This window comes from Homo sapiens, chromosome 7, assembly GCF_000001405.40.
Source record: "Homo sapiens chromosome 7, GRCh38.p14 Primary Assembly".
Lineage (NCBI taxonomy): Eukaryota > Metazoa > Chordata > Mammalia > Primates > Hominidae > Homo > Homo sapiens.
Window position 1 is genome coordinate 40,824,300 of NC_000007.14, and position 26,575 is coordinate 40,850,874.

The 26,575-nt window shown below is 39.8% G+C and overlaps 1 protein-coding gene and 1 long non-coding RNA gene across 19 annotated transcripts in view; one reads left to right on the forward strand and one right to left on the reverse strand.

Moving 5' to 3' along the window:
* The window catches only part of SUGCT (succinyl-CoA:glutarate-CoA transferase), a 903,812-nt gene that overhangs the window by 689,295 nt on the left and 187,942 nt on the right, over positions 1-26,575 (forward strand). The gene's annotated exons all lie outside the window — the stretch shown is intronic.
* LOC112267984 (uncharacterized) lies at positions 1,609-5,793 on the reverse strand. 2 transcript variants are annotated; one of them, XR_007060292.1, is made up of 2 exons: positions 4,449-5,793; positions 1,609-3,467 (listed from the first exon to the last, which is right to left on the reverse strand). It is a non-coding gene; the product is annotated as an uncharacterized LOC112267984 (long non-coding RNA). The 2 variants fall into 2 exon arrangements; XR_002956505.2 differs by having other exon boundaries at positions 1,609-3,798.

Consider the following 26,575-nt stretch of genomic DNA (forward strand, 5'->3'; position numbering starts at 1 on the left):
TCCTGTTAGGCCCGCTTGCCATTTCAAAGCTGGAAAAGGATTATATAAAGGTAAATGGGTATGTGTGTGTGTTGGGGAGGCAAGAACAGAGGGAGGAGGGGAAAAACATCAGGTAGAGAGACAGAGCACTTGTGCAGATAAAGGAGTTTTCTTAATTGTTGTCTTAAAATGATGGCTATGGTTGAGGTAGGAAATAAGCAACACAGAGAACATACATGATATAATATGGTATGCATTCGTTGGGGTACATGATGCAAGCTGCTACAACAACCGCTAAATCTCAAGTAATGATTTCTTGCTTCTTCCTGTGTCTTTGTTTCGTGCTGCTATAACAGAACACCAAAGAATGAGTAATATATAATAAACAGAGTTTTATTGGTTTGTAGCCTAGTGGCTGGGAAGTCCCAGATCAAGGTGCCAGTATCTTATGTGGGACATCTTGTTCTGTCATCCCATAGTGGAAAGCAGAAGGGCCAACAAAAGTGAGAGCAAGAAAAAGAGAGAGCAGAAGTGAGTGAGCCTACTCCTGATAACTGGCATTAGTCCACTTATGAGGGCAGAGCCCTCTTAAGGCCCCACCTCCCAATACCATCACAATGGCAATTAAATATCAGCATGAGTTTTAGAGGGGACAAACCTTCAAACCATTGCAGCCTGTCACAGACCAAGATAGTCATGGAAAAAAGGGGACTGCTTCATGCAGTCTTTCAGGAACCCAAGCTCTTCCTGTCTTGCAATGCCACCATCTTCACTATGTGGTCCCAGGGTTAGTGTAAAGGGGGAAGAGAGATGTTAAAGGTTGTGCAGGAGGTGGGAGGATTCTGGCAGACCTGGAAGTAGTATACACAACCTTCACTTGCATTTCTTTGGATAGAATTCAGACTCATAGCCCAAAATTAATTACAAAAGAAACTGGGAAATGTAGTCTTTCTGTATGCCCAGAGGGAAAATAAATTGTTTTTTTGATGAACATATGGCATTGTCTGTGACACATGGTAGTACTTTCATCAAGCTAAAATTGACAGTGATAAGGGTCCTACATAACAAACAAGTGAGGTCTTGCCCTTGTTGGAACACTAGCTGCCTTGTTTTTAGCATTACTTAGGAGAGTTTGAATATTTGTGTCTCTCTGTGGCTTAAATGAAGAACCTTTTTAGGGTTTCAAATTTTCTGTGGAAGCTTCATTTGAAGTACATGGCATAGGTTCGATACTTCTTTCTGTTTTTTAACGTATTCCATGAAATAAAGAAAAAGAAAAACCTGACTTCTTCAAAGTCCTAACCCCTCCACATGAGTAAGGGAAAAAATGGAGGGGGAATCTGATGTGTGCTCACTTTGAAGAAGATGCTTTCTCCCAGCTCTGACTGTCAGAGTGGACTCAGCTCATTAAGTAGGCCAGGCAGGCGACCCATTCTCCTCAGCCATCCGACGGTCCAAACAGGCAACCTTCCCAGTTAGAGGAGCCCTCTTTTTGGATTAAGGTTACATAGATGCTTACATTCCCAGCTAGAACTTCTAAAAAAGCCCCCATGGCATAGAAACTCGTATTTCAATGTTAGTATTGCTGTAGGAATACCTACATGCCCGTATTTATAAAGGAAAACTAAATCACCAAAAAGTTCCAACACTTTATTTATAATATGCATGTTACATATATAGTAAAGCTATTTTATTTTTCCTTAAAGATCTATTTTATTAAGTGCCTACAGACAATATATTAAGAAGGAGACTTAAGCTCAAAATGTAAAACCCACAATAAACAACTCAAGTACTGCATTTTTAAATCCTCATATTGCACGGCTAGTTGTCTCTAAGTTTTAAATGGTAGTTGCTAAAGCATACCATCAAGGATGACTTTTAGCAAAAATAACAGCTGGCTTTGAAATTAATTTGAAAATGAATATAATCTGTAACAGGTACATATACATGAGGTGAAGTAATTCCTGGCATCCTTCAACTGATACACTATCTTCAAGTTTAGGGCAAAGCATTTAGTATTCAGGAAAATTACACATAAGATTATATTTTATGATTTTTTTTTCCCTGGGAGCATATGAACAAGCATTGCAAACATGCTATACACCTGTAAGACCAAGCATTATGGTAGGTAACTAGGGAATATCCACAACACTAGAAAGAAATCTGCACAATGAATCAGGCAGAGAACAGCTGGTGAAGAAATCAGATGGAGAATGGGAGTAATCTGTGGAAGGTATTTGAGTTTGCTATAAACATTTTGCAAGCATTGGGTGAAGAAGCTAAGCCTCTGGGCCTCACAACCAAAGCCCAGGCTTGCCGCAGGCTACAGAAACAGTTTTCAGAAAGTACCCAGCTCCTGACAAAGAGTGACCATTTAAACAGTATGTGGAGAATGTTGTTAATTCTGACTCCAGGGTTGTTTTTGAGTCACCCACAGGGCATCAGTCTTTGTAAGTATTGGCCCCAGGTTTCTAGAGAGTTTGACCTCTTGGGTGCCCTGTATTTCCACTGTTAAAACAAGTGCATTGCTAGAGAAAGAAAGGGTATTTCTTTTAAGTATTAAGTAAGTGCTGAGCAGGAAAGAGCTTTTTGCCTATCCCTTGAGGCACAAAATAAGAGCACTGTGGTGAGTAACTGAGAACTTGGCCAAGAAAATAAATCTGTTTAAGGTTTGGAAAACTGGGTGCAAGTTTGCTTTCTTTCACCTCCAAATCCACTAGATTTTTCTATCTTCATTTTCTTTTGGTGCTTTGTGCTTCAATTTTTTTGTGGTATGCATAGTTAACATCCTGACGAATGAAAAGGAATCCTCTGTCATACAAACAAAGGAAGAAGCTCAGTGTACTTAGGCCACAGCATAAAGGAGGGGCAGGGAGGGAAAGAGAAGCATAGGAAAGAAAAACACAAAAACACAAATACTGGAGCAAACTCAGACCGCTGGGTCAAATGAAAACCCATAGTGCAAATGGCAAAGGATCAAAGGTGATAGGGTGTGTTGCTGGGGAAGGTGCTGCCCCTGCTCTGATACATTCCACAGTGGAGAGAGTCCACTGGAATCGGGCACCTGCTGCTTTAAGAGCAGAGTCTCAGAGAAGGGGAGAGAAGCCTTCTATGGAGTAGGGAGAAGAGAGGGAGCAAAGAGGCTGCTGGGGTCAGAAGCAAGGGACAAACAGAGCTGCTGCGTTTTAGAGGCTGAAGTGTCATTTCCCTGCTCACCAGCTCCAATCTGCTTCTGATTTGGGGCTCCCTGTCTGTTCTCAAGTCAACTGAAATGTGAAAAGCTCTTAATTCCAGCGAAAGGTTAGACAAAGGAAGCTTGGCTCTGTTACTAACCACGAGGCTCATTTCTCCTCCGGGGCGTGTCCAGGCCTGGAGCTTCGGGCCTGATCCTCTCCTTGTCTTTGTGGCCAGGATACTTGATCTGCAACTCGTTTGCCCATTCTCAGGGGAGTCTTTACCATCCAGCTCTCCTTTGGTCTTAAGCAAGGCTGGCAAAGGGAAAAAGCCACAAGAACTTAAACTTCACAAAAGCAACAATAACAAAACTCCCCCACACCATGGAAACCATCCAGCCACAGAGAGGCCAGCGTGTCTCTTGGTGGGGTTGCTTTGATACTGCCAGCACAGAAGTTGCCCGTCTGTCACAGATGGGTATCAGAGTCTTGAAAACCAATCCTGTCCTCTAGCCTAAGCTCTGCAATGACAGTGGTCAAGCTGCTACTTCAAAATCCATGCCTGGATTCTTATGTGGAATGTGCCCTCTGTCTACCTGCATTTCTTTAGAGCTTAAATCCAAACATTGCCTGTTCGGTGAAGGCTCTGAAATAAAAATAAAAGAGGTAATTGGAACATGAGAGGATAGAACAGTAACAGTAACCAGCAAGCATAGCTCCTATGTTCAGTTTTACTTTGCTTGCAGAAGTGAATATGCTCATCAGTTCATGAGTCAAGTGGGGCTGCCCCAGGGTCAGAACCTCTATCCCCAACCCATGGGAGGGCTCCTATCAGGGAAGGGGAGCAAGCATGTTCCAGTTGGGGGCTATAGGGCACATGGTCTTTCTTGTCCTGAGGGTCTGTGAAGCTAGCATTTAATATTGTCACAACATTGAATGATCCTCTCCTTTCTCTCCAATAGCTTTGCAGTTAAGGAATGAAAAAGAGCAGGGGATGGAGAAAAGGCATCTGGAGAGCTGGCATATTGGGGCTTCCAAAGCACCTTCATGTTGCTCTCTCTGCAAAGATTTTGTTTCCTCCTCCTATTACCGTTATATTCTAAACTGTGTCTGACTTGCTACAGTAAAAAAAAAAAAAAAAAACTCAAGAACACAATGTTGAATTAAAAAAAGATACAAAAGAATACAAAAATTTACCCTTTACATTAATTTGAAAAACATACAAAATTGTACTGTGCATTGTTATGGAGATACCTTTATGCAGTAAGAGCTAGAAAATGCATGGGAAAGACTGACCTCAATATCATCATAATGGTAAAGACCACCTCCAGCGGCGCCACAGTTCCTGACCTTCACTGAGAACTTCCCACACACCAGGCACTGTTCTCATTGCTCACTAAAGCCTCCTGGAGAAGGAAAAAGAAGCGGTTTGGACCGCATGACTTTAGCGGTTTGGGGGCATGACTTTAGTTGTCTTTGAAATGAATATAGTGAGATGGGAGACCAGCAGGACTTATATTCCGAGCACCGATCATGACCCTACTAATCAAAGCAGGATGCAGCAAAGACACCAGCCGAAACCAGCGGATAGCAACAAAAGTGACCCTCTTGCCCTCACTGCTAATAAGCATAAAGACAGTCCCACCAGTGCCATGACAGTTTACAAATGCCATGGCAACAACCCAGAAGTTTCCTTATATGGTTCCAGGAACTCCCCCACCCCTTTTCTAGAAAATTCTGAATAACCTACTCCTTAAATAGCATATAACGAAGACTGTGTATAAATATAGCTAGCCAGCAATCCATAAGGACTGCTGCTGCTGCTGCTGCTGCTGCTCTGGGCAGCTCTGCCTATGAAAGAACCCTGCTCTGGGGAGCAGCCACTTTGCCATACACTGTTGCTCTAATAAACTTGCCTTCTTTCATTGCCAGCTCATTCTTCAGTTCTTTCCTGAGCAAAGTCAAGAACCCTCCTGGGCTGAGCCCCAATTTTGGGATTTGCCTGCCATCAATTGCAAAGTGGCAAAATGTTCACAAGTTAGAAATCTGGGTGGAGTGTCAGTTATTTTATTTTCAGTATTCAGCATGTTTTGAAATATTTCATAATTATTTTAATAAAAAGAAAAACAAAAGCAGTAACAAAAAAAAGGACACAAAGAATTTTTGTAAGAAAGGGCCTCTTTTGTCATGTCACTTTCCATGCATGGAGTGGCATCTCCTTCCTCAGACCTCTAAAATGCTGTGCAGTGTCATGGTGGGTTCTCCTCCCTTTCCTCCATTCCTACTCCACAGATGACCATGTCCGGCCCTGTGCTTTCACCCATATCACTCTGTGGAGGCCTCCCCAGTGTCTCTCTCTAGGCCTGCACCCTTCCCTAGCTCCAGGGCCTGCATCACATTTCCACACAGACACCAAAAGCATATAGAAAACTCAATTCATGTAGCATGTGGCAAACTCAATCCAAAATAGAATGCTGACTTTCCTTCAAAAACCATTTCTCCCCCAGTATTCTCCCATTGCAGTAACTAGCATCATCTTTAGAGTAAAAAGGACAACAATTTGATTCTTTCTCTGCTTCCTTCTTTCTCCCACATTCCACCACCACGTCATGAGCACACCCAATTGGCTCTACTTCACCACACACACATTGAGTCAGAATACATCTGTGTCCCCAACTGCCACCACCCCAGGCCCAGAGCCTCATCTCAGGTCTGCTCTGCTGACCACAGTCACCTCCCAGTGCTTGCCTGCCTTCACCCTTGGGCTACCAGTTTCTTCTCCATGTGGCTTTTCACAATGTAAACTCCTTCACTCAAGACCTTCCAAGGGCTTGAGTACCTAGAAGTTAGGAGAAAGTCCTTCCAGCGGTTTGCAGAGCACATATCAACAGACCATTGGTCCTGCCCTCCCCTGTCCATGCCCCGTGCCCATACTTTTTGCTCCCTGCACTAGTCATGAAGACCCCTGAGGACCTCCTTGCAATGTCTCAATCAGGCCCTAGCAGACCCTGACAGCCTGGCCTTTACTCTGATTATTCCCTCTTCTTAGATGCCTCTTTCTGGATATTTCTGTGGCTCACTCCCACTCCTCACTGAGGTCTCTGCTCAAATCTCATCTATTCAGAGAAACTTCCCTGATCACTCCATCTAACAGAACAGGCCTGCCTTGATTATTTCTCCTTGGCTGGATTCATGTTTCTAAGGTGGCGCCAGGCCTATAGTAGGCACTCAACACACATTTGTCAAAACAGTGAATGATAATTATTGACCAGCTCATTGCAGCCATTCACACATATGTTGATTCATTGCTACCAGCAAAAGTCCTCAGAGGACAGCACAGAAGACAGTAACTCGGAGAGTGTGCCCAGCCCCTCCATGGGGTTGATTCTGAGACTAGAATTCAAATCCACTTATTTTTACTCTAATCTTTCCCCTGTACCACCTTGCATCTCTCAAAGGAGGAAAGTAAGAAAAAGCAACATTCAACTGTCTGGTAAATGCTGCTGAAGATTGTAATAATCACATTTACACAATTTGATCTTCACAAACACCCTGAGAAGTAATGTCGTCTCAATTTTGGAGATGAGAAAGCTGAACCTTCTAAGAGGTTAAGTATTTAGCTTAAGATCATCATTTTTAATAAGAAACAGAATGTACCCCAGGCCTGCCTCATGCCACGGCCTGTGCTTTCTTAATGACATTCATCCTGCCTAAAAGTTGCATTTTAGATTCCCGTAAAAAGCCTGTGTCCTATCAACAGTGTAGGCTCACCCAATGTTTGCTGTCTGGTGATGATTCCAACTCTGTCTTCTTCCCTCTCCTGCCCCCCTCCCTCTACTGCTGGGACTGTTCCCCAGCACTTTCACCTTCTCCTCATTGCTTACACCTGCTGTGGCCTCAGAGGAGCAATAGCCTTCATGGGCCACCCAGAAGTTGGATATAAGAAAACAGGTTAGGTTGGAGAGAGTGAGAGGGAGAACAGCCAGTGCTGGAAGACAGGCAGTGCCCAACTTTCAAATGGGTTTGTTTGCTAGAATTTCTTTGGAGGGCTGTCATACGAAACTTCAAACACATTTCCCCATAGAAACAATATTATCAATGATGGTTAGGGTCTTGCAGTCATCCTTGAAGCCCTATATAATGCAGATGTTTAACCAAGATGCTACTAAATACTCCCAGAATTATTGAATCTCATTAGCAAGTCAGCATCAGTCACATGGATTCTGTGGGAAAATATAACCTTGAGTTCCGACTGTGAACACTAAGAACACTTCTGTTTACATGTTACACCTCTAGATCCTATCTCTGTGTGATACTCTTCTTACTATTCACCCCAACCCCAGCCTGAATTCAGCAGGGCTGGCTATAGGCCTGTAGTGTGATGAAGGCTACCAGGCATATTAAGGAGGAAGAGAGTACAGGCTCACACACTGGCAGGACAGCCTAGAGGGGGCTCCAGGGACTCCCAGAGGAGGAGTCTTCTGGCAGGACAATAGCCTATGTTTAGAACACTTATATAGTAGTAACTCCAGTTTCAGGGCAACAGCACATGTTGGGGGGTCTTGGGTGTTGTGGTACAGTAACTTAAGTGTGCAGGGGAATGAAAGAAAGTGAGCAGTATGGAGCCTGTCTCCATTCACAAGGGGCCGTGCATGCAAATGTGTGGCTGTCCCTGTGTGCGTCCGGGTATCTCTGGAGAGCACTCATGAGATAGGTGGTGACACAGAGTCCTGAAAAGTAACCCAGAGCAGGCATCCAACAGTTCTGGTTCTTGCTCCGCTTCCTTATTTGGGGGATTCTAGGCAACATGAAACCTCTCAGGGCCTTATTTTCCTTTAATGTTAAGTGGGAAAAATAATTATCCTCCATCCTACAGGGTCATTGTGAGTATCATCTAATATCATATTGTTGTGAAAACACTGTGTCCCATTTAATGTTGTGGTAGTATTAATATTATACCAAGAATTACGTAATAGGACACATGTTCTCCCAAACTTTATATTTTTTAGTGTTCTGCACCAAACAGTTAAGAGAAGGATAGCTATAATGGTTCATACATCCACTCTGGGTTTTCTGTTTGGTTGGTTTTTTGTTTTCCAGGGTTTTTTTTGTTTTTTTTTTTTCCCGGATGTGAGCACTCCTAGCCACAAAGAATTAGCTAGAGAGGAAGATTTCAGGCCAGATATACCTATTGCTTCAGGCCTTCTTTGTTTCTTCCACTCCTACTTTTTTTTTTTTTTTGAGACAGAGTCTCACTCTGTCACCCAGGCTGGAGTGCAGTGGCCCAATCTTGGCTCACTGCAAGCTCCGCCTCCCAGGTTCACGCCATTCTCTTGCCTCACCCTCCCAAGTAGCTGGGACTACAGGCACCCGCTACTATGCCCGGCTAATTTTTTGTGTTTTTAGTAGAGACGGGGTGTCACCATGTTAACCAGGATGGTCTCGATCTCCTGACCTTGTGACCAGCCTGCCTCAGCCTCCCAAAGTGCTGGGATTACAGGCGTGAGTCACTGTGCCGGGCCTCTTCCACTCCTACTTCTATTCTGCATGCTGCCATCCCCTCGGTCCATAGACCTCTGCTCGGGCCATCATCCCTTGACAGGTCTGCATATTTTACCTCTAGATTTTTTTTTTCAGCAGTCCATTTTTTCTTGGTTGTCCCACTGGAAAGGAATCTGATCAGTACTGTTTTTAAACATTGCAATAATAGTCAGATAGATCCCATTGTAGTTGAAGATTACTGGAAGAAAAAAAGAATCCAAACTCCACATGTAGGAATGTTGATCTGAGATGGGTTGTTTTCCAAGACCCATCTTAACAAGAAACATTAACAACCCAAGGAAGTTTCCCTGCTTGGAAAGTTTTTTCCCTTTTTTTCTACCTGCTGAATTATTTCTCCCATTTGTGATGTAAAGTTCCTTACGTGGAAAGTAAACATTGACTTAACTGACTCCTGTTAAATGACTCTTTTCTGTAGGAGAAGCCAGCCTATTTAGTGCCTTGCCATTTCAACATGTGTTCATACACTTATTAGTTAATTTGCCAGATTCCCTGTTTTAAAGTCCCAGGCTGCATTGTATCTTTTGAAAATTGAAGTCATGTACACAAACCACTTTCAAGTTAGGAGAGACATTAAAAATAATTAGGTCCTGCAATATTTCTCTAGAACCATTCCTTTCAGGATCTTGGCACGTGCTACATCATTAATGCATAGCCACCTGCTTTGGGATCAGGTGCTGCAAATTTTCCTCTATTTGTTTCTGGACTGAATGAGTCAGTGAGAGACTTGGTTCTAAAACATCCCAGCTGGACAGTGGTGAAGGCAGCATTTAGAACAGAGAGTTCTCCTCTCCCACAGCAAGTTCAAAGAGTTTTGTACAAGAAGTGCATTTGGTGACGGACTGTGGTAAATACCAAACTCATTAGGATTCAATTAAGTAGGACCCTACCCTTTATTATTGTTTGAAAATCAATAGAACCATTAGAAATTGTTTTCAGCATTGTTTTAACGTGAAATGCTAGAGTTGCCCACTGTGGGGTGCCAATACTTCAAGTGCATCATCCCTTCTCCAGGGTTGGTGAGTTCTCTTCTGTGCTGTAAAAACCTCCCTAGTCATCTTAAACAAAAAATCTCAGTTCTGCTTTTTTAACTTTCTGGGAAAGGTGAAGCGTATTGCAGGAGATTCAATAAAAGCTGGGTGACTAGGTATGTCTTTGTGGGCAAAATGGAGAAGCATGGACTGGACAGCTAAATAGTTGAACTGACTTGTGAATGGTTGGGTCCAAACTGTGATGATTCTTAGGCTGGGGGGTGGGTGGGGAGTAGAGTTTCCCAAAGACATACGCTTGGACCCCATTATTAACACTTTTAATAGTTACATGGAGAAAGATGTTGGAGGCCACGCTTTTGCATCTGATATAAAATCAGGGTTAATGATTTTTCCACCAGAAGTATTCAAAAGTAGACTGGTTATAAATAGGACACACAACGTTTCAATTAGATGGAGCAATGGGCCACATTAACCAGATTGCAGGGTTTTATTTAACTAAAAACTAATTGCAAATAAATTTATTGGTGGGGTTACTAAAAGTCAACTTGTGATTTTAGTCTGTAAAAGTAGATGCATAATATCTAGACTAAGGAAAAAGATAAACCTCCTATATTCTGCGCACCTGGAACATGGCACTTAATTTTGGCACAAGTTATTTGACTAGAGATATAGATAAATTGGAACCCAGACTGGAATTCAGCAGTAAGCAGCCAGAATGATGAAAGACTTATAGCTATAGAACAGTTTCAAATAAAAGAAATGTTTCTTTTAACCGGCAAAAGAATGAAGAAAATAAAAATTATTTGCCATGGCTGTTTAGACATCAGTAACAAGAAAGATTCAAGCCTGTAACAAGTGTTTTGACAGGATAGTATTCGGGGTCTTCTCCACCCTGCTCTTCTAGGAGGCTATGGATATGAATCCATCGATGTGTCATTTGTAAAATGGTGTCCTTTTTAAATTAAAAAAAAAAATTGGGACTTTTTAGTGTTTTCATTCATTATATAGATTGGAGCTGTCCAATGCTTTATTGAGATGATAGAAATGTCTTTCTTTACTGTCCAATATGATAGCCGCTAGCCACATGTGGCTGTCAAGCCTTGGAAATGTGCTAGTCCAACTGAGGAACTGAATTTTAGTTTTATTTAAGTTTAATTCAAACACCCACATGAGGCTGGTGGCTCTGGACCAGGACAATGCAGTTCAAGACACTGCCTTCCTCTTCCATTTCACCTTACTGACAGCTTGGAATTTGGTCTTTTGTCTCTTTGAGATTCACCTGAAAACATAAAAGCATAAGAACAACAGAATTAAAATCTAATTTCCAAAGAACTAGATGTGGACTGTTTTTTGTTTGTTTTAGATTCCTTCCAGGTATATCCTAAATTTTATGCCCAAATTCTTCAAATTTCTTCTTACCTATGATGGCTCCTACAAGCACTTTCCCCTATTTCTTACATGTTGAAATATTGACTACAGAAATTAAGTTCTGCTAGTGCTCTCCTTCTGGCAATACCTACATTCCATTCTATGCCAATCTCCAGAAACTGTTTTCTGTAAAGGATCTACATAAAACCTGATTTGTATGACACAGCAGGCAATCTCCCAAGGCTTACAAACAATTTGGAAGAACGTATTTGATGGCTTTATTGTATATTCTTACTTTGTTTCAAAGCTTTTAAAAACATAAACATATTTATGGATTTGAAGTAAAGTTTAGTTTTAGTTTAATGTTAAGCTTCATGAACCCATTATTAAGTCCTCTGGTTCAGGTAAATCACTTAACTTTTCTATCCCCCAATTGCCAGATCCATCCAATTGGTTAGGAAAATATTTAGTACTTTCCATTTGGAGGAAATCATTAGTATCTTCCATTTTCTTTTTTTTCTTTTTTTTTTTTTTTTTGGTGAGACAGGGTCTCACTCTGTCACCCAGGCTGGAATGCAGTGGAGTGATCATGGCTCACTGCAGCCTTGATTTCCCAAGCTCAAGCAATCCTCCCATCTCAGCAGCTGGAGTAGCTGGGACTACAGGTTTATGTCACTATGCCTACTAATTTTTTAATTTTTTTTTTTTAGTAGAGATGAAGTCTCACTGTGTTGTCCAGTCTGGTCTCAAACTCCTGAGCTCAAACAATCCTCTCAACTCAGCCTCCTAAAACTCTGGTATTACAGATGTGAGCCCTGTGCTCAGGCATATTTTTCATTTTCTTGAAATGGGATGTTAGATACAAAATGAAAAGCATTAATCAGATGTAAGGTTTTGCTTTTGTTTTTGTTGTCTTTTCATAGCTTTTAAAACCTTTTTATTTTGACATATTTGTAGATTTACATGGAGTTGTAAGAAATTATCTGTTCACTTGATTTGCTTCAGTGGTAACACCTTGCGTAACTATATCAGACAGGAAACTGTCAGTGATACAGTTGACTGACCATATGCAGATTTTACCAGTTTTATGCGACTCATTGTGTGGTGAGCGTGTGTGTTTAGTACTATGGAATTTTATCATACACGTAGATCCTTGTGAATATACCCGTGATCAATGTATAGAACGATTCCATCACAAGGATCCCTCATTCTGCCCTTTTAGAGGGACCACCACTTCCCTCTCTCCCTCCTTCTATAATTCCTGTCAACCACTAATTGTTCTTCATCTCTATAATTTTCTTATTTCAAGAATGTTGTATAAATTGATTTATACTGCACGTAACTTCTTTATTTTGGCTTTTTTCACTTAGCATAATTTCCTTGAGATTCATCCAAGTTGTTGCTTGTGTCAATAGTTCATTCCTTTCATTGCTGGATAGTATTCTTTGATATAGAATACAACACCTTTGTTTAACTGTTCACCTACTGAAAGATATTTGTTTCCAGATTTTGCATTACATATGAACATTCATGAGCAGATTTCTGAGTAAATTCAAGTTTTTATTTCTCGGGGATACATGTTTAGGTGTACAGTTGCTATATCGTATAGTCAATGCCTGTATATTTTTGAAAGGAATTGTCGTACTCTTTTCCAGAGTGACTAGAAAAATTTTATATCCCCAACAGCAATGTATGAGTGATCCAATTTCTCTGCATCATCATCAGCATATGGTGCTATCAATATTCCTTATTTTAGTCATTCTGTAGATGTGTTTCAACAGCTAATTGTGATTTTTATTATAATTCCTGAATGGCTAATATTGAACGTCTTTATATATGCTTTTAGCCACCTCCATATTATCTCAGTGAAATGTCTGTTCATGTTTTTTGCTCATTTTCTAACTGGCTTTTAAAAATTTTTACTCGAGTTTTGAGAAATATATAAATTCTAGGTACTAGTTCTTTGTTAGCTATGTGGTCTGCAAATATTTTCTTCAAATTTGTAGCTTGTCTCTTCATCTCCTTAACATGATCTTTCACAGAACAAATAGTTTCCATTCTGATGAGGTCCAATTTATCAATTTTCATTTTAGATTTTGCTTTTGGTATCAAGTCTAAGAATTCTTCACCTAGTCTTAGATAAAGATTTTTCTCCTATGTTTTTATTCTAAGCATTTTACACTTTTAATTCTGTGACCATTTTGAGTTATTTTATTATTATTATTATTTTTGAGACAGAGTTTTGCTCTTTCACCCAGGCTGGAGTGCAATGGCACAATCTCAGCTTACTGCAACCTCTGCCTCCTGGTTGAGCGATTGAACCCAGGTTGCCTCCTGGGTTCAAGCGATTCTCATGCCTCCTCCTCCCGAGTAGCTGAAATTACAGGCACCCACCACCATGCCTGGCTAATTTTTGTATTTTTAGTAAAGGTGGGGTTTCACCATGTTGGCCAGGCTGGTCCCGACCTCCTGACCTCAGGAGATCCACCCGCCTTGGCCTCCCAAAGTGCTGGGATTACAAGCGTGAGCCACCAGGCCTGGCCTATTTTGAGTTAATTTTTTATGGGATATGAAAATTAGGATGAGGTCTGTTGCCTATGGATGGTCAGTCGCTCTAGCACCATTTGCTGAAAAAACTATCTTTCCTCTATTTAATCGCCTTTGCACCTCTGCTAAACATCAACTGGATATGTTTTGTGAGTCTATTTCTGGACTCTCTATTTCTGTTCCATTGACTGAGATTTCTATCGCTCCACTGGTACTACATGGTCTTGATGATTGTAACTGTATAATAATAGTTAAAATAGAATAGAATGAATCTTCCTACTTTACCCCTTTTTTCAAAATTATTTTAGCTATTACAAATCCTATGTCTTTTCAGATAAAATTTAGAATAGGCTTATCTGTGTTTACAGGAGAAAACAACAGTTCTTTCAGGGATTTTGATAGGCATTACATCCAACATGTGTATCAATTTGAGGAGAATTGACATCTTTAATATGTTGTATTTTCAAATTTATGAACACAGTATGTCTCTCCATTTACTTAGGTCTTCTATGATTTCTTTTATCAGCATTTTGTAATGTTCAGCATACTTAAAAGCTTTGTTAATTTTATACCTATTTCATTTTGTTTGGAGTAATTGGAAGGAGTGTTGTGTTTTTAATTTCAGTTTCCACATTTTCCTTATTACTACATAGAAATGTGATTGCTTTTTGCGTCTTTTATCTTGTATCCTAAGGCCTTCATTACATCTAGCGTTTTGTTTGTTTGCTTTATAGATTACTGAAGATTTCCTACATAGACAACCATGCTATCTGCAAATAAGGACAATTTTATTTCTTCCTTTCCAAACTATATGCCCTTTATTTCTTTTTATTGCCTTATTACTGGGCTAGAACTTACAGTACTTTGTTGAATAAGAGCGATGAAAGGGGACATCCTTGCCTTGTTTCTAATCTTAAAGTATATAGTCTTTTATCATTAAGTATGAAGGTAGCTATTGGGTTTTGTAAATGCTTTTTAGTTTTTTATGAAGTTGAAGAAGTGCCCTCTATTCTTCCTTTGGTGAGAGTTTTTTTTTTTTTTTTCACATGTAGGTGTTGTATTACATCTAATACCTTTTCTGCATCAATTGATATGATCACATGATTTTTCTCCTTTAGCCTGTTCATATGGTGAATTGCATTGATTGATTTTCAAATATTAAACCAACTTGGCATTACTGGAATAAATTCTACTTGTTCATGGTGAATACTTCTTTTTTATACATTACTGGATTTTATTTGCCATATTGAGATTTTTAGACATAAGATTATGAGATATGTTGACCCCTAGTTTTCTTTTGATGTACTGTCTGTCTAGTTTTGAGACCATATTTTTATTTTTTAGAGACAGGATCTTGCTCTGTTGCTCAGGCTGGAGTGTACTGGCACAATCATAGCTCACTGCAGCTTCAAACTCCTGGGTTCAACTAATCTTCCCACCTTAGCCTCCCAAGTAGCTGACACTGTAAGCATGTATCACCCTGCCCAGCTAATTTTTATTGGTTTTGAGATCATAAAATGAGTTGGGAAATATTCCTCCCTCTTCTATATTCTGGAAGTGATTGTGTAAATTCTTTTTTAAATGTTTGGTATAATTCTACAGTGAAACCATAGAAACCTAGAAATTTCTTTTTTAGAAAATTTTAAATTATGAATTCAGTATCATTAATGATTATAGAACTGTTCAACTTACCTATTTTAATATTTTTTGAGTTTTGGTAGTCAGTGGTTACTGAGTAAAAGGTCATTTTCTGAGTTAAATTTTTAAGAGTAAACTTTTAATGACTGCAGGATCTGGAGTGATGTCCCTTGTTTCATTCTTGATATTTGTAATTTATGTTTTCTCTATTTTTATTTTGTTAACCACAATTTTGTTTCCAATGAAACAGAACATTCAATAAACATCCAAGTGACTATTCTACAGTAAGTTTGACTCCCCAGACCAGTGATGTGCCAGTGAATGTGCAGTAATGCCCACCGAGTGTGCTACAGGAAATGCTGGAAGCCTCTTGGGCAAAACCCAGAAGAGGAGAGCATCCCAAATCTGTTTTCAAAAAAAAAAGAGGTTTTCTCATTTTCTGCTTCCTTTATGGGTGAGAGCCAGCTTATCAAAGAAAAAACAGATGACTCAGTGCCTTAGGTATTTATCAAAGTGTGAAACTGAGGTTTTCCACCTCAGTTTTCTAGCATGCCAACTCAAAAATGCATATTGCTGAGCCTGGCCTTACACATACTAAAGCGGAATCTCTGTGAGTAGGGCTCGTTATCTAAATTTGAGCCACTTTGTGAACTCCATGGGAGTCATCCTGCACTCCTCAGAAAGTCTCATTATGTGAATAATAATCCTTTCATACCCTCTTGGTATATGCTTGTAATCCTAAGTCTCAACATCCAAATGAAGTTTTGGGTGGAGGTCAGTCCTGCAGGGTGACCACCACAAAATCATAGAATATGTTCTCAGACAAGAAATCAATAACTGCAAGACAACAGGATAACCTCCAAACACTTGGAAATTAAACAACATACTTCTAAATGATGCGTAGGTTGAGGAAGACTCAAAAAAAAAAAAAGAAAAAACATTCAATCAACTAAATGAAAATGAAAATATAACATGTCAAAATTTGTAGGACACAGTTAAAGCAGTACTGTGAGGAAAATTTATAGCACTAAATGTTTACATCAGCGGAGACAAAACGTCTCAAATCAATCATCTAAGTTTCTACCTCAAGAAACTAGGGGGAAAAAAAGTAAAAAATAAACCCAAGCAAGTAAAAGGAAGGTATTGATAAATGTATGATCAAACATCAATAAATTGAAAATAGGAGAATAGAATCAATGAAACAAAAGCTGGTTCTTAAAAAAAAGTTAATAATATTGATAAACTCCTGCTAAGTCTGACAAAATAAAAATAGAGAAAACATAAATTACAAATATCAAATAACTCCTGCTAAGTCTCTTTAAAACACAGACATGTATTTGGGTGTTTTTTTTTATGTTACAACAACTATTTTTAGAGACTGCCAACTACCTAATCCTTTTATAGTATATGAAAATAGTCACTTTCCTCACATAAACTATTTTATAATTTCAAGGTACAAAAACTTTTAAACCAGTGTAATCCAAGGAGGACTCTTAAATTTATAACTCATCATTGTTATATTACTTAGACTTTTTTTTTTCTTTTATGAGATTCAAAATGTCATGTGGGAACCTTCTCATGAGAGTACTTCCTTTTTACTTATTTATTTTTCCTAATAAACAAAATAAAATTTTGCTGACACAGACAACAAAATGTATTAACACAAATGACAAATTATTCTTTTATTCATTCATCAATAACTTTTTTACAGACAATAATTTATAAATCATTATCTGAGACTACATCTTCCTGTTTTACAGACCTTTAGACTTAGAGACCTAAGAGTATTTATATTTCAAATTTGGTTCTCATTAATTTTGAATATATGATCATCTATTATAGATGACGACAACTAAATTGATGTTTATCTTTGTGCTATCTTGTTAAAGACATTCCTAAACAAATTGTTGGTTTAATTATGATTACACAGGGAATGTTTCAGTTACTCTTAAAAATAAGCATGCTCAAACACAGAACAAGTACCTGTTGTAGACAAAGAATTGATTTACTAGTTATAATCCACTTGTGTATTTTACTAGAGTAAGTTTTCTTACAGGTTTGTAAGACATCTCTGACATAGTTTCATTTATTTATAAGAAATGATACATTTCATATTTTTCATTACCTATGCTGGATTGTGATTCAGGCAAAATTAATGAAGTTTCAATGTGGAAAGAAATGTCTTCCCACTCAGCATGGGCTGAGGATATCCTAAACATTTCATAGACAATGGCCATCTCTACCCTTAGTGTGAGAAGAGAGCCAATTTTGTTTGTTGGAAACTGTGCAGAGGGCCCTTTGGGGAGAGTGAATATTACTCGTGTATTTAATTAGTACATAAAAAATAAATGACCATACTCAGATCCACAATGAAACTGTGAAAATAAAAACATTTCAGATTTTCAGTACTAATTAGCCCTTTTCACCTTGTGTGTTAAATACTTTTAAATAATTCAAAATATACTGGGAAAGAATAACCACAGAATTAATATTAGGAACATTGGAGGGCATTTTGTAAGCATCAGTCTAAATAGTTAATAAGGAGAATATGCAGAAGGGGAAGAAACAATAAATAGGAAAATGTTTGTGTACCACAACAGACACATATCATTATTATTATTATTATATGAAATTTGCAACACCCACTACCAAAGAGAAACATGGGAAACAAAATAAGTTTATTGTACAATTGTACAAATTACAGTCTCATAGAAATAAGAAATAAGACTTATGTTTTCCAAGTAGGAAAACAAATAATCATTTAAAAAAATAACAAAAAATATGTTCTTCCAAGAAGAAATAATAAGCATTTTTTTAAAGTCTGACAGTGTTTTCCTGACTCATTTTGCATGGTTCATGGAGTCTTACCTATTACTGTCATACTAAAAGCTTAACATCTAAACAAATTAAATTAAGGTAAATTTGGTATCATACCAACACCCAGATGATAAAACCTTTAAGTGAAAAGTTAAATTACCTTTTGCATTCTTGTTTATTTCTGAAAATGTAGAAACTCTTCCTCTTCATTTATTTGTTCATTTAACAAATATTTATTGAGCATGTTAATTTACTAGACTCTGGACACACAATGCAAAGAAAACAGATAAGATTCCTGCCCTCACAGAACTTAAAATTGTTCTTGAACACCTGTTTTTATCCAACTTATAAAGTGGATCTTTATACTCAAAGATTTCACACAGCTGTTAGAATGTTTCATTTTTGGAATATTGCAGGGCCTCTTTCTTGTGGGTAACATACATGCAAGTTGCACAATTCTGTAAAGTCAGGTGCAGTGAGAACAGACACATTGCATTTAACATTTTCTTGTCTACATGAGACTATTTTGGTTCATGTTCAGTGAAAATGCCTCACCTTGCTTTTAGATCTGTTTGACAGAATTTGTTTTTTGAGGTTGTGAGCACTTTGAGTTTCCTTGTTTTAGAAACCTGAGGACTGAATTCAAAGCTTGGTTAAACTCAATCAGTCCCTCATTCACTCCCTCTTGAGGAAATACAAAGATCTCTACCATTATAACATGTACATTCTAGCAGAGAAAGACAGATAAAGAATGGTAGATGTACATGAAAAGGACTCTGGAAGAAAGGAGGTAAACTGGCCAAAGGGGCGATGGAAAGTAGCAGTCAGGGTGGCAGGATGAAAAAAAGTAGAAGTGAAGCTGGGCGTGGTGGCTCACGCCTGTAATCTCAGCTCTTTGGGAGGCCGAGGCGGGCAGATCACGAGGTCAGGAGATAGAGACCATCCCGGCCAACATGGTGAAACCCCGTCTCTACTAAAAATACCAAAATTAGCTGGGCATGGTGGCGCATGCCTGTAATCCCAGCTACTCGGGAGGGTGAGGCAGGAGAATTGCTTGAACCAGGCAGTCAGAGGTTGCAATGAGCTGAGATCACGCCACTGCACTCCAGCCTAGCAACAGAGAGAGACTCTGTCTCAAAAAAAAAAAGTTGAAGTGAGTCAGTGTAGGCCTCACTGAGCAGAAATGTGAAGGACGTGAGGGAATGATGTGAGTAGATTTTAGGAGGAAGAATGTTCCCAGCAGAGAAGAATGGCTGGAGCAAAGTTCCCAAGGAGGAACATGCTTGGTGAACAGCAAGGAGGCCAGTGTGGGTGGGGCAGACTGAGCCAGAGGGAGCAGTGCAAGAGAGGAAGGCACAGGGTGGCTTGGTGGGAAGAGGAGTGGATTATGTAGAACCCCATCGCCTATTGTGAAGAGCAAGGGAAAGCCTCACAGTGTTTTGAGCAGAGGAATGACATGACTGGACTTGTTTTTAAAGGGTGACTCCAGCTGCTTTGTTGAGAATACACTGAAGGAAAGCCTGCAGGCAGGGAGAGCTGGTAGTGATATTTCCCTTGACCTCTTTGCAAGACTTGTGAAGGGGTGGCTCATTTACTCGGCCCGCAGCTCTAAACCCATCACGGGAAGGGGAGTACTCAGGTGAGTGGGTGCAGGAACCAGGGCAAATCAACACTGGAACCAGCCAGTTGCTCCTCTCTGGTGGGAGCAGGCTTTGTACAGGAACCACGGCAGCATCCAAGCATGTTACAATGCTTTTTTAGCTCTGCTGTCTGGGAAGGGGTGTCTGCAACTCCCGGAGCCCCAGAAGGCATGTGTTACAATCAGTGCTCTTTTAGCATTTTCCATCTGCAGATGGCTAAGTGTAAACCAGCTCAGTGGAGGGTCAGGGTGACAGCCTTTTACACCCTGCCCTCTTGGTATCCAAGTTTTTGTCCAGTGTCCAGGAAGAATCAGGTCACCCAAATGAATTGAAGGCTGGTGTATGCAGAGGATTTTATTTAGAGGTGGAAGTGGCTCTCAGTGGGAAGGGGAGCTGGAAGGGGGACAGAGTGGGAAGATAATTTTCTCCTGAATGACCGAACTCTTCTCGGAAGTCCCGCCATCAAGTCACCCCTCTGAAGTCAACCTGCTTTTCTCTGACATCTGGCTGCTGCTTCTCTTCTCATCTCTGCTGCTCCACTCTGCTCTCCTGCCAGTGGAGCTTGGGGTTTTTATGGGTACAGGGTTGGGGGCAGGGTGGGCCAGGGTGGTTTTGGAAAAGGCAACATTTCGGGTGGGAAAACAGGGATGTTAAAGTTCTCATTTTGGACCGCAGGTCCAGGCTTGAGGGTGGGGCCCTCGCCAGGGACCGCCCTCTTCTACCCAGTACTTCCCTGCCTCCTGTCTGTATCAATAGGAAGCTCTCACAGAAATCCAGCAAGAGATGATGGTAGCTAGCATTAGGCTGGCTGTAAAAAGTGATTGGATTTTGTATGTGTTTAGAAGCCAGAATCAATAGAATTTGCTGATGGATTGGATATGACATGTAAGAGAAAGAGAAGAGTCAAGATGACTTCACTTAGAAATGTAGTGCAAAATGTACCAATCTGTAAGCCTTGACCTCCCTTTAGTTCTATATTTCACATATTTCTAGTGGCCTTGTTTTCTATTCTAGGAATCTAGTGGGTTTTGGTTTTTGGTGGTTTATTTTTTATTTTTTATTTTTGTCTAACATTTTCAGCACTTACTGATGGAATACTCATATGGTAGATGCTGTGGAGGATACACAATGAACAAAACATTAATTTTGTTGTCAGCAAAGATCACAAGAGATAATGCAATTAGAAAGTGAGGTACAACACTGAGGAGAAGCAGATCAAATGTTATAGGGAGTCAAAGAAGGGAGATGTTTCTTTGGACTATGGGAAAAGGGGAAGGTCCAACATTAAGTTAGCCTAAACAGAGCTTTGAGAATATTGTAGACTTGAGGATTGCCAAGCTGAGATGCATTCCATTTTGGCACATATACCCACACAGCCTCAGGTCCAGCGGAGAGTAAGTGCAGTTTGGCTGGAAGAAACAGCAGGGGAGAAGGATTGAACAAGTTGTCCTCATATTGCACAGTGCTTTGAACCAAGGGGATGACAGAAAAGATCAGAAGTGTGGGTGTGTGTGAAAGACATTTTCAGAGATAGGACTGTGGGGCTAGCAAGGTATAAGTAAGGCCAGGGATTAGAGTGCTGTTATTGAGAGGATGGTCATGCCAAAATTCAAATAGGGGCATAGAGAGAAAGGACTTTCTCCTAAAACATTTCCATCTGGACTGCAAAGGCAAGGTGAAAGGGAAAAACTAAGATCAATTGTTCGACAAATAATTAACATATTCCCTTTTTCTTAGCAGCAGGTTTGGGGGGCCTAATTTTCTTGATTCTCTCTTTGCTTGGAATATAACCGTCATTTGTGTGATCTTAAAGACTCTGGGGAAGGAATAGAAGATGGTTGATATAAGACTAATTCTTTTACTATAGTGACTAAAACGTTCAGAAAAAATTTATTAAATTCTGAAAGACTAGTATCATCAAGTTTACAGAAAAACTTTTCAAAGCTCATTTGAGGTAAGAGCCACAGATAAGCACCTACTATAGCTCTGTTTAGTTGCTCCTTTTAAAATTGAATCGAAACGTGATCTGGCTTCTCTGACTGGAAATTTCCGGTTTTTTCCTTAATGGAGCACAGAGGCAGAGGAGGTGAGGAGAAGGTCACTACTTTGAAGGACTATGGAGCTTAAAATATTCTGGCTATAGACTTCAGCTGAACCAATTTTGTTTTCCATGGTGAAATCTAACCAAACAAAGTCTTGGGAATGCGCCCAAAGAGCTTGTATTGAATATTTGAATTCTAGAAGGCAAAGAAGAGGAAGAATTGATTATTTTGGCAAAGAGCACGTTGTCAGCAAGGTGTTTCTTCACCCTTTTGAGTATTCGTGAGTGTCTAAAATAATGACACGCAAACACTAGTGTTGGAAAAAAAAAAAAAACAGTCAGGAGAGAGCTTCTTCCAGTCCCACATTTTTCAGAGACCTCAGCGGAAGGTTTGGGTAGCACACTTTGAGGGGAGACAGCATGTTTACTAATGAATATGAATAGTATTTCCTTATGGGCCATATATTTTTCCAGTAGGAAATGGATAATCTACTATGACATTTCAGTGGGTTGGAACAAGATAGATAAATCAAATACAAGTTGCCCTGTTTCTTTTTCAAATGAAAGATAAATGCCTTAATGGATTAGCAATCATGAAATATATAAGTATTTATAATACAGTACTGCTTTATAACACCATCTGCTAAAGAATGGTATTTATCCAGCCACTGATATGAGAGCAGATTTTCTTCCACATTATGCAGGGAGGAAGTACATCCCAGTGTTAACGAGCACGCACTTTGTATTTAACCAGCCTAAGTTCTAATGAAATTCTTCAGTTGACAAGCTGTGTAATTTTGATACAGTTACTTAACCCCACTTTCTTCATTGAGAAAATGGTGTCATAATGATCCTACCTTTTAAATTCATTTAGTGCATCAAAGAAGGTAATATATAGAAAGCATTATGCCAAGTGCTTAACACGTGTAAGTACTCAATAAATAATAGCTAGTATCATCATTCCACTGGCCAAAATTGGCTACACACAAAATGAGCCATTTCAAAGTATTTGGAATGTCTGGAGTGAATGCTTTTTAAAGGAGTACTGAGGAACTAGATTAATGAGTTTCTCCTCTAGTCCAGGCAAGTGGGTCTCTACACTGAAACTGAGGCATGTGTCAATCTTAATAGGCTAGTTTGTGGTGGGATAACAAACAATTCCCAAATAACAGTGTCTTAAAACAACACAAATGTATTTCTTACACTACCTGTCCATCATGGGTTGACAGGTACCCAGGCTGGTGGAACAGTCACCATTCTCACACACTGCCAAAGAGACAGGGAGACCGACAGGGTCTTAAATCAACAATTGAGGGTTCTGTCCTGGAGATGACATATACATTTCTTTTCTTTCTTTCTTTTTTTTTTTTTTTTTTTTTTTGAGATGGAGTCTCACTTTATCACCCATGCTGGAGTGCAGTGGTGCGATCTCAGCTCACTGCAACCTCCACCTTCCGGGTTCAAGCGATTCTCCTGCTTTAGCCTCCTGAGTAGCTGGCATTATAGGCGTGCATCACCACGCCTGGCTAATTTTTGTATTTTTAGTAGAGACAGTGTTTCACCATGTTGGCCAGGCTGGTTTCAAACTCCTGACCTCATGATCTGCCCACCTCAGCCTCCCAAAGTGCTGGGATTACAGGCATGAGCCACCACATCCGGCCCACATTTCTTTCATTCACAATTCATTGGGCTCACACAGTTTTACCCAACCCCGAAGGGACAAGGGTGTGTAATACTGTCATATTCCTGGAAACTAGTATAAAGGAAAGTAAAAAAAAATCTCAGGACCCCCAAACTCCTTTGCAAAAGGGAAAGTTAAGCCTGGAGGCTGAGTCGTGCAATGCCCTTTTCCAAATGAAGCTGTTACTGGCATTATACATTAGCCAGATCCCCACAAGGTAAAAGGCCTTGGGCATCTATGAAAGACTGCTCCCACAGATCAATCATGGGCAAATCTTTTGCTGGCCTCCCAGAAACAAGGGCGTGCCAATTATAACTTTAGGCCTGCAATGTAAGTCTAGCTCCTAAATCTAAAGTCTGTTGGATTCCACACCGATGGTGTAGATTACAAGCTTATCTTTCCAGGTGCAGAACAAAGATAAGAGGAGACCAATTATTTCCACCTACCCAGAGAAACTTGCATAATTTACACTTCCTTTACTTCTTTTTCTCTTCAAACATTCACCTTATTACATGTAAAATGTAGATTTACCTGGCACTAACTAAAGTCTCACAGGAATGTAACCATCCACTCTACCTTGTACCTGGCCCTCTTCCTACATGCTTTCTCTCCCCCTTAAGGAAATGTATATATACTGGACAGCCTGAAAACTCTTGGGAAAAATAGCCACAGCTGTGTCTATGGCTCGTGTTTTTCCTGGATGTACCCTAAAGCTGGCTTAATAAACCTCCATGATTGAGACTTTTTCCTCAGTGCCTCATTTCCGTTATCTGCAGAAACTGGAAATTTGGTGGATAACACTGATGACTATCAAAGGGTCATTGATGTGGTTAAAAATAGACAACCTATAGATACTGGCACTTGAGGCCCTCCTTATTAAGTTAAAAAACAATGAGCCAAAATTGATTCAAGCAGTAGTGATATATGGCGTTTCTGAACTCTGAGTGAGACTGGAGACATATCTATGTTGGTGGTACATACCACAGGATGCCTTGAGTTTCTGGGACGCCTGGTCCCGTAAGCAGTGCCATGGATTGAGTTCTTCTGTTAAAAATATCCAAAGCCACATTTTTTCTCTATGGCCTTATCTCACCATTCCATGCTAGTTAAATAGCTTTCTCTGTTTTTATATCACATCTAATGGGTTTAATGTGTTCTAAGTGTATGGCTCCATTTGGTGCATTGGATGCTATGGCTGAGAGGTGCCATATAAAAATATTGTTATTGTTATGATGATGAGTTCAAGCACTGGAAGGGAAATTGTGCAATAACTTAGTACTGGAGCTATCATTATTTTCAGCAAAATGAAGTTTGGCTTCTTACTACACTACTAAGCCTTGAAGATTAAATGGTATCTACAGCATGTATCTTAGCAATGAGCCAAAGAAGTCCAAAGAAAAAATGTTTGTTATAACAAACATTTCATATATTATAAAACAGATGTTCACTTTTATGTATTCTTGATACTTTAAGAAGTTGATGATACCCATGTCAGAAATTAAGAAAAAAATCAAATGAAAAAAATCCACACATTTAGGGTATTTTCCATTTATTAAATTTTATTAATTCTTATTTCCATTGTGATCAGACTGGCCAGCTATGTTAATTACTTTAACCCTTAGTGCTGATCAATTGCCAGTGACCTGTGAAGTTGAGCAATAGTTTGTTTCATTGCTGTAGAAATGCATCATTAGGATGGAAGGTGCGTGGAGCTCTGGAAAAAGGGACTGTTTAGGTCCCTTCCCTCATGATGATGTGATATTATGTTCCCATTACTTGAATATTCATTATGGTTTCCCCCATGTTTTTGGCTACCTCTGTTTCCTGCAAGTGTTTACATTATTAAGTTGGTTTGGTTTATAGAAATGTAGCTTGAACCTGTATATAGCTAGAGTAGCTTGGGGTGTTTGCATAGATTGGTTAGATTTCCTTTTCACCCTAGAAGAATCATGGGAGGTTTCTAAAAGGAGGTGAGACAAAACCACCGGGACCGTGTTACGGAGGGATCTCAAAACACAGACGGAAAACACCACAGAGCTAGCTTGAGGGATTCTCAGGGGGCGCCAGGCACTAGGCCCTCCTTGTGCTTTGACTCAGGTAACTTTCGACAGAGGAGATAGTGAAGGCTTCATTCCTTTCAGGGTGGGTGGAGGGAGGTATTGCAGAGCATCCCCTGACTCAGAGGCATGAGAAATTGGCATGTATTGACAGTGCCGTGAGTCCGGGACTTCCTACAAGGGTTTAGGTGGCATTTGACAAATTCATTTGAAAACAGGAGGTAATAACAAGTATTTATTGCACAAGGAATCTAGTGGACTCTGATCTAGAAAGATGGAGAGGACATACTGGTCAGAGGATGGGGCCTCAAGTGGCTCTCTTCGCGTTCTACTTCTGGACCCCTGAGTTCAGTTTCAAGCTGAGATCATTCTCTCCTTCCTTTGCTCTCTTTCTTTCACCAGAAAGCAGTGTGGTCCAGTGCCAAAGAGCTGGGATTCTGCCACAGGACTGTCTGAGTGTGAATCATAGCCCTGCTCCTCACCAGCTCTGTGACCCTGAGCAAGTGGCTTCCCTTCGGTCTCTCAGTCTCCCCCATTTGTAAAGTGGGGATGATAATAGGGCCATCTGGGGTTATCATAAGGACTGAGCAAAATGAATGAGTGAAGCACACATAATAGTGTCTGTAGTAAGTGCATGTTAAATGAGTGAAAGAAGTCCTGTGTTTTCATTGTTCCTTCCACTTAACTAGTTAAAAGGTAAAAGGGTATAAAATGAATTTCTGGTACACGTCCTGATGCTGTTAGAGACACTAAGTATGTACTTATAAAGAGTGTGGCTTGGGTAATCATCCAACCTCCCGTGCCTCTTTTTTATTCTCTGTAGGAAGGGGAAACATACCTATCTCAAAGGGTTGTAATGAAGAATAAGCAAAATAAATATTTGAAAAGTGCTTTTTATGTAACACGTGGTTAAGAAATGGTTGATTCCTTCCTTCCTTTTCCCTTCACTTTAAAAAACCTTGTCCCTGACAATTAAAGATTTCTACAAGTTAAAACTTTTATCTTTAGCCTGCTCTCACAAATCTAAAATGCAGCTAACTTGCTAATGTTCTGGGAAGTCTAGGTCTGAAATTAGCAGGTGAT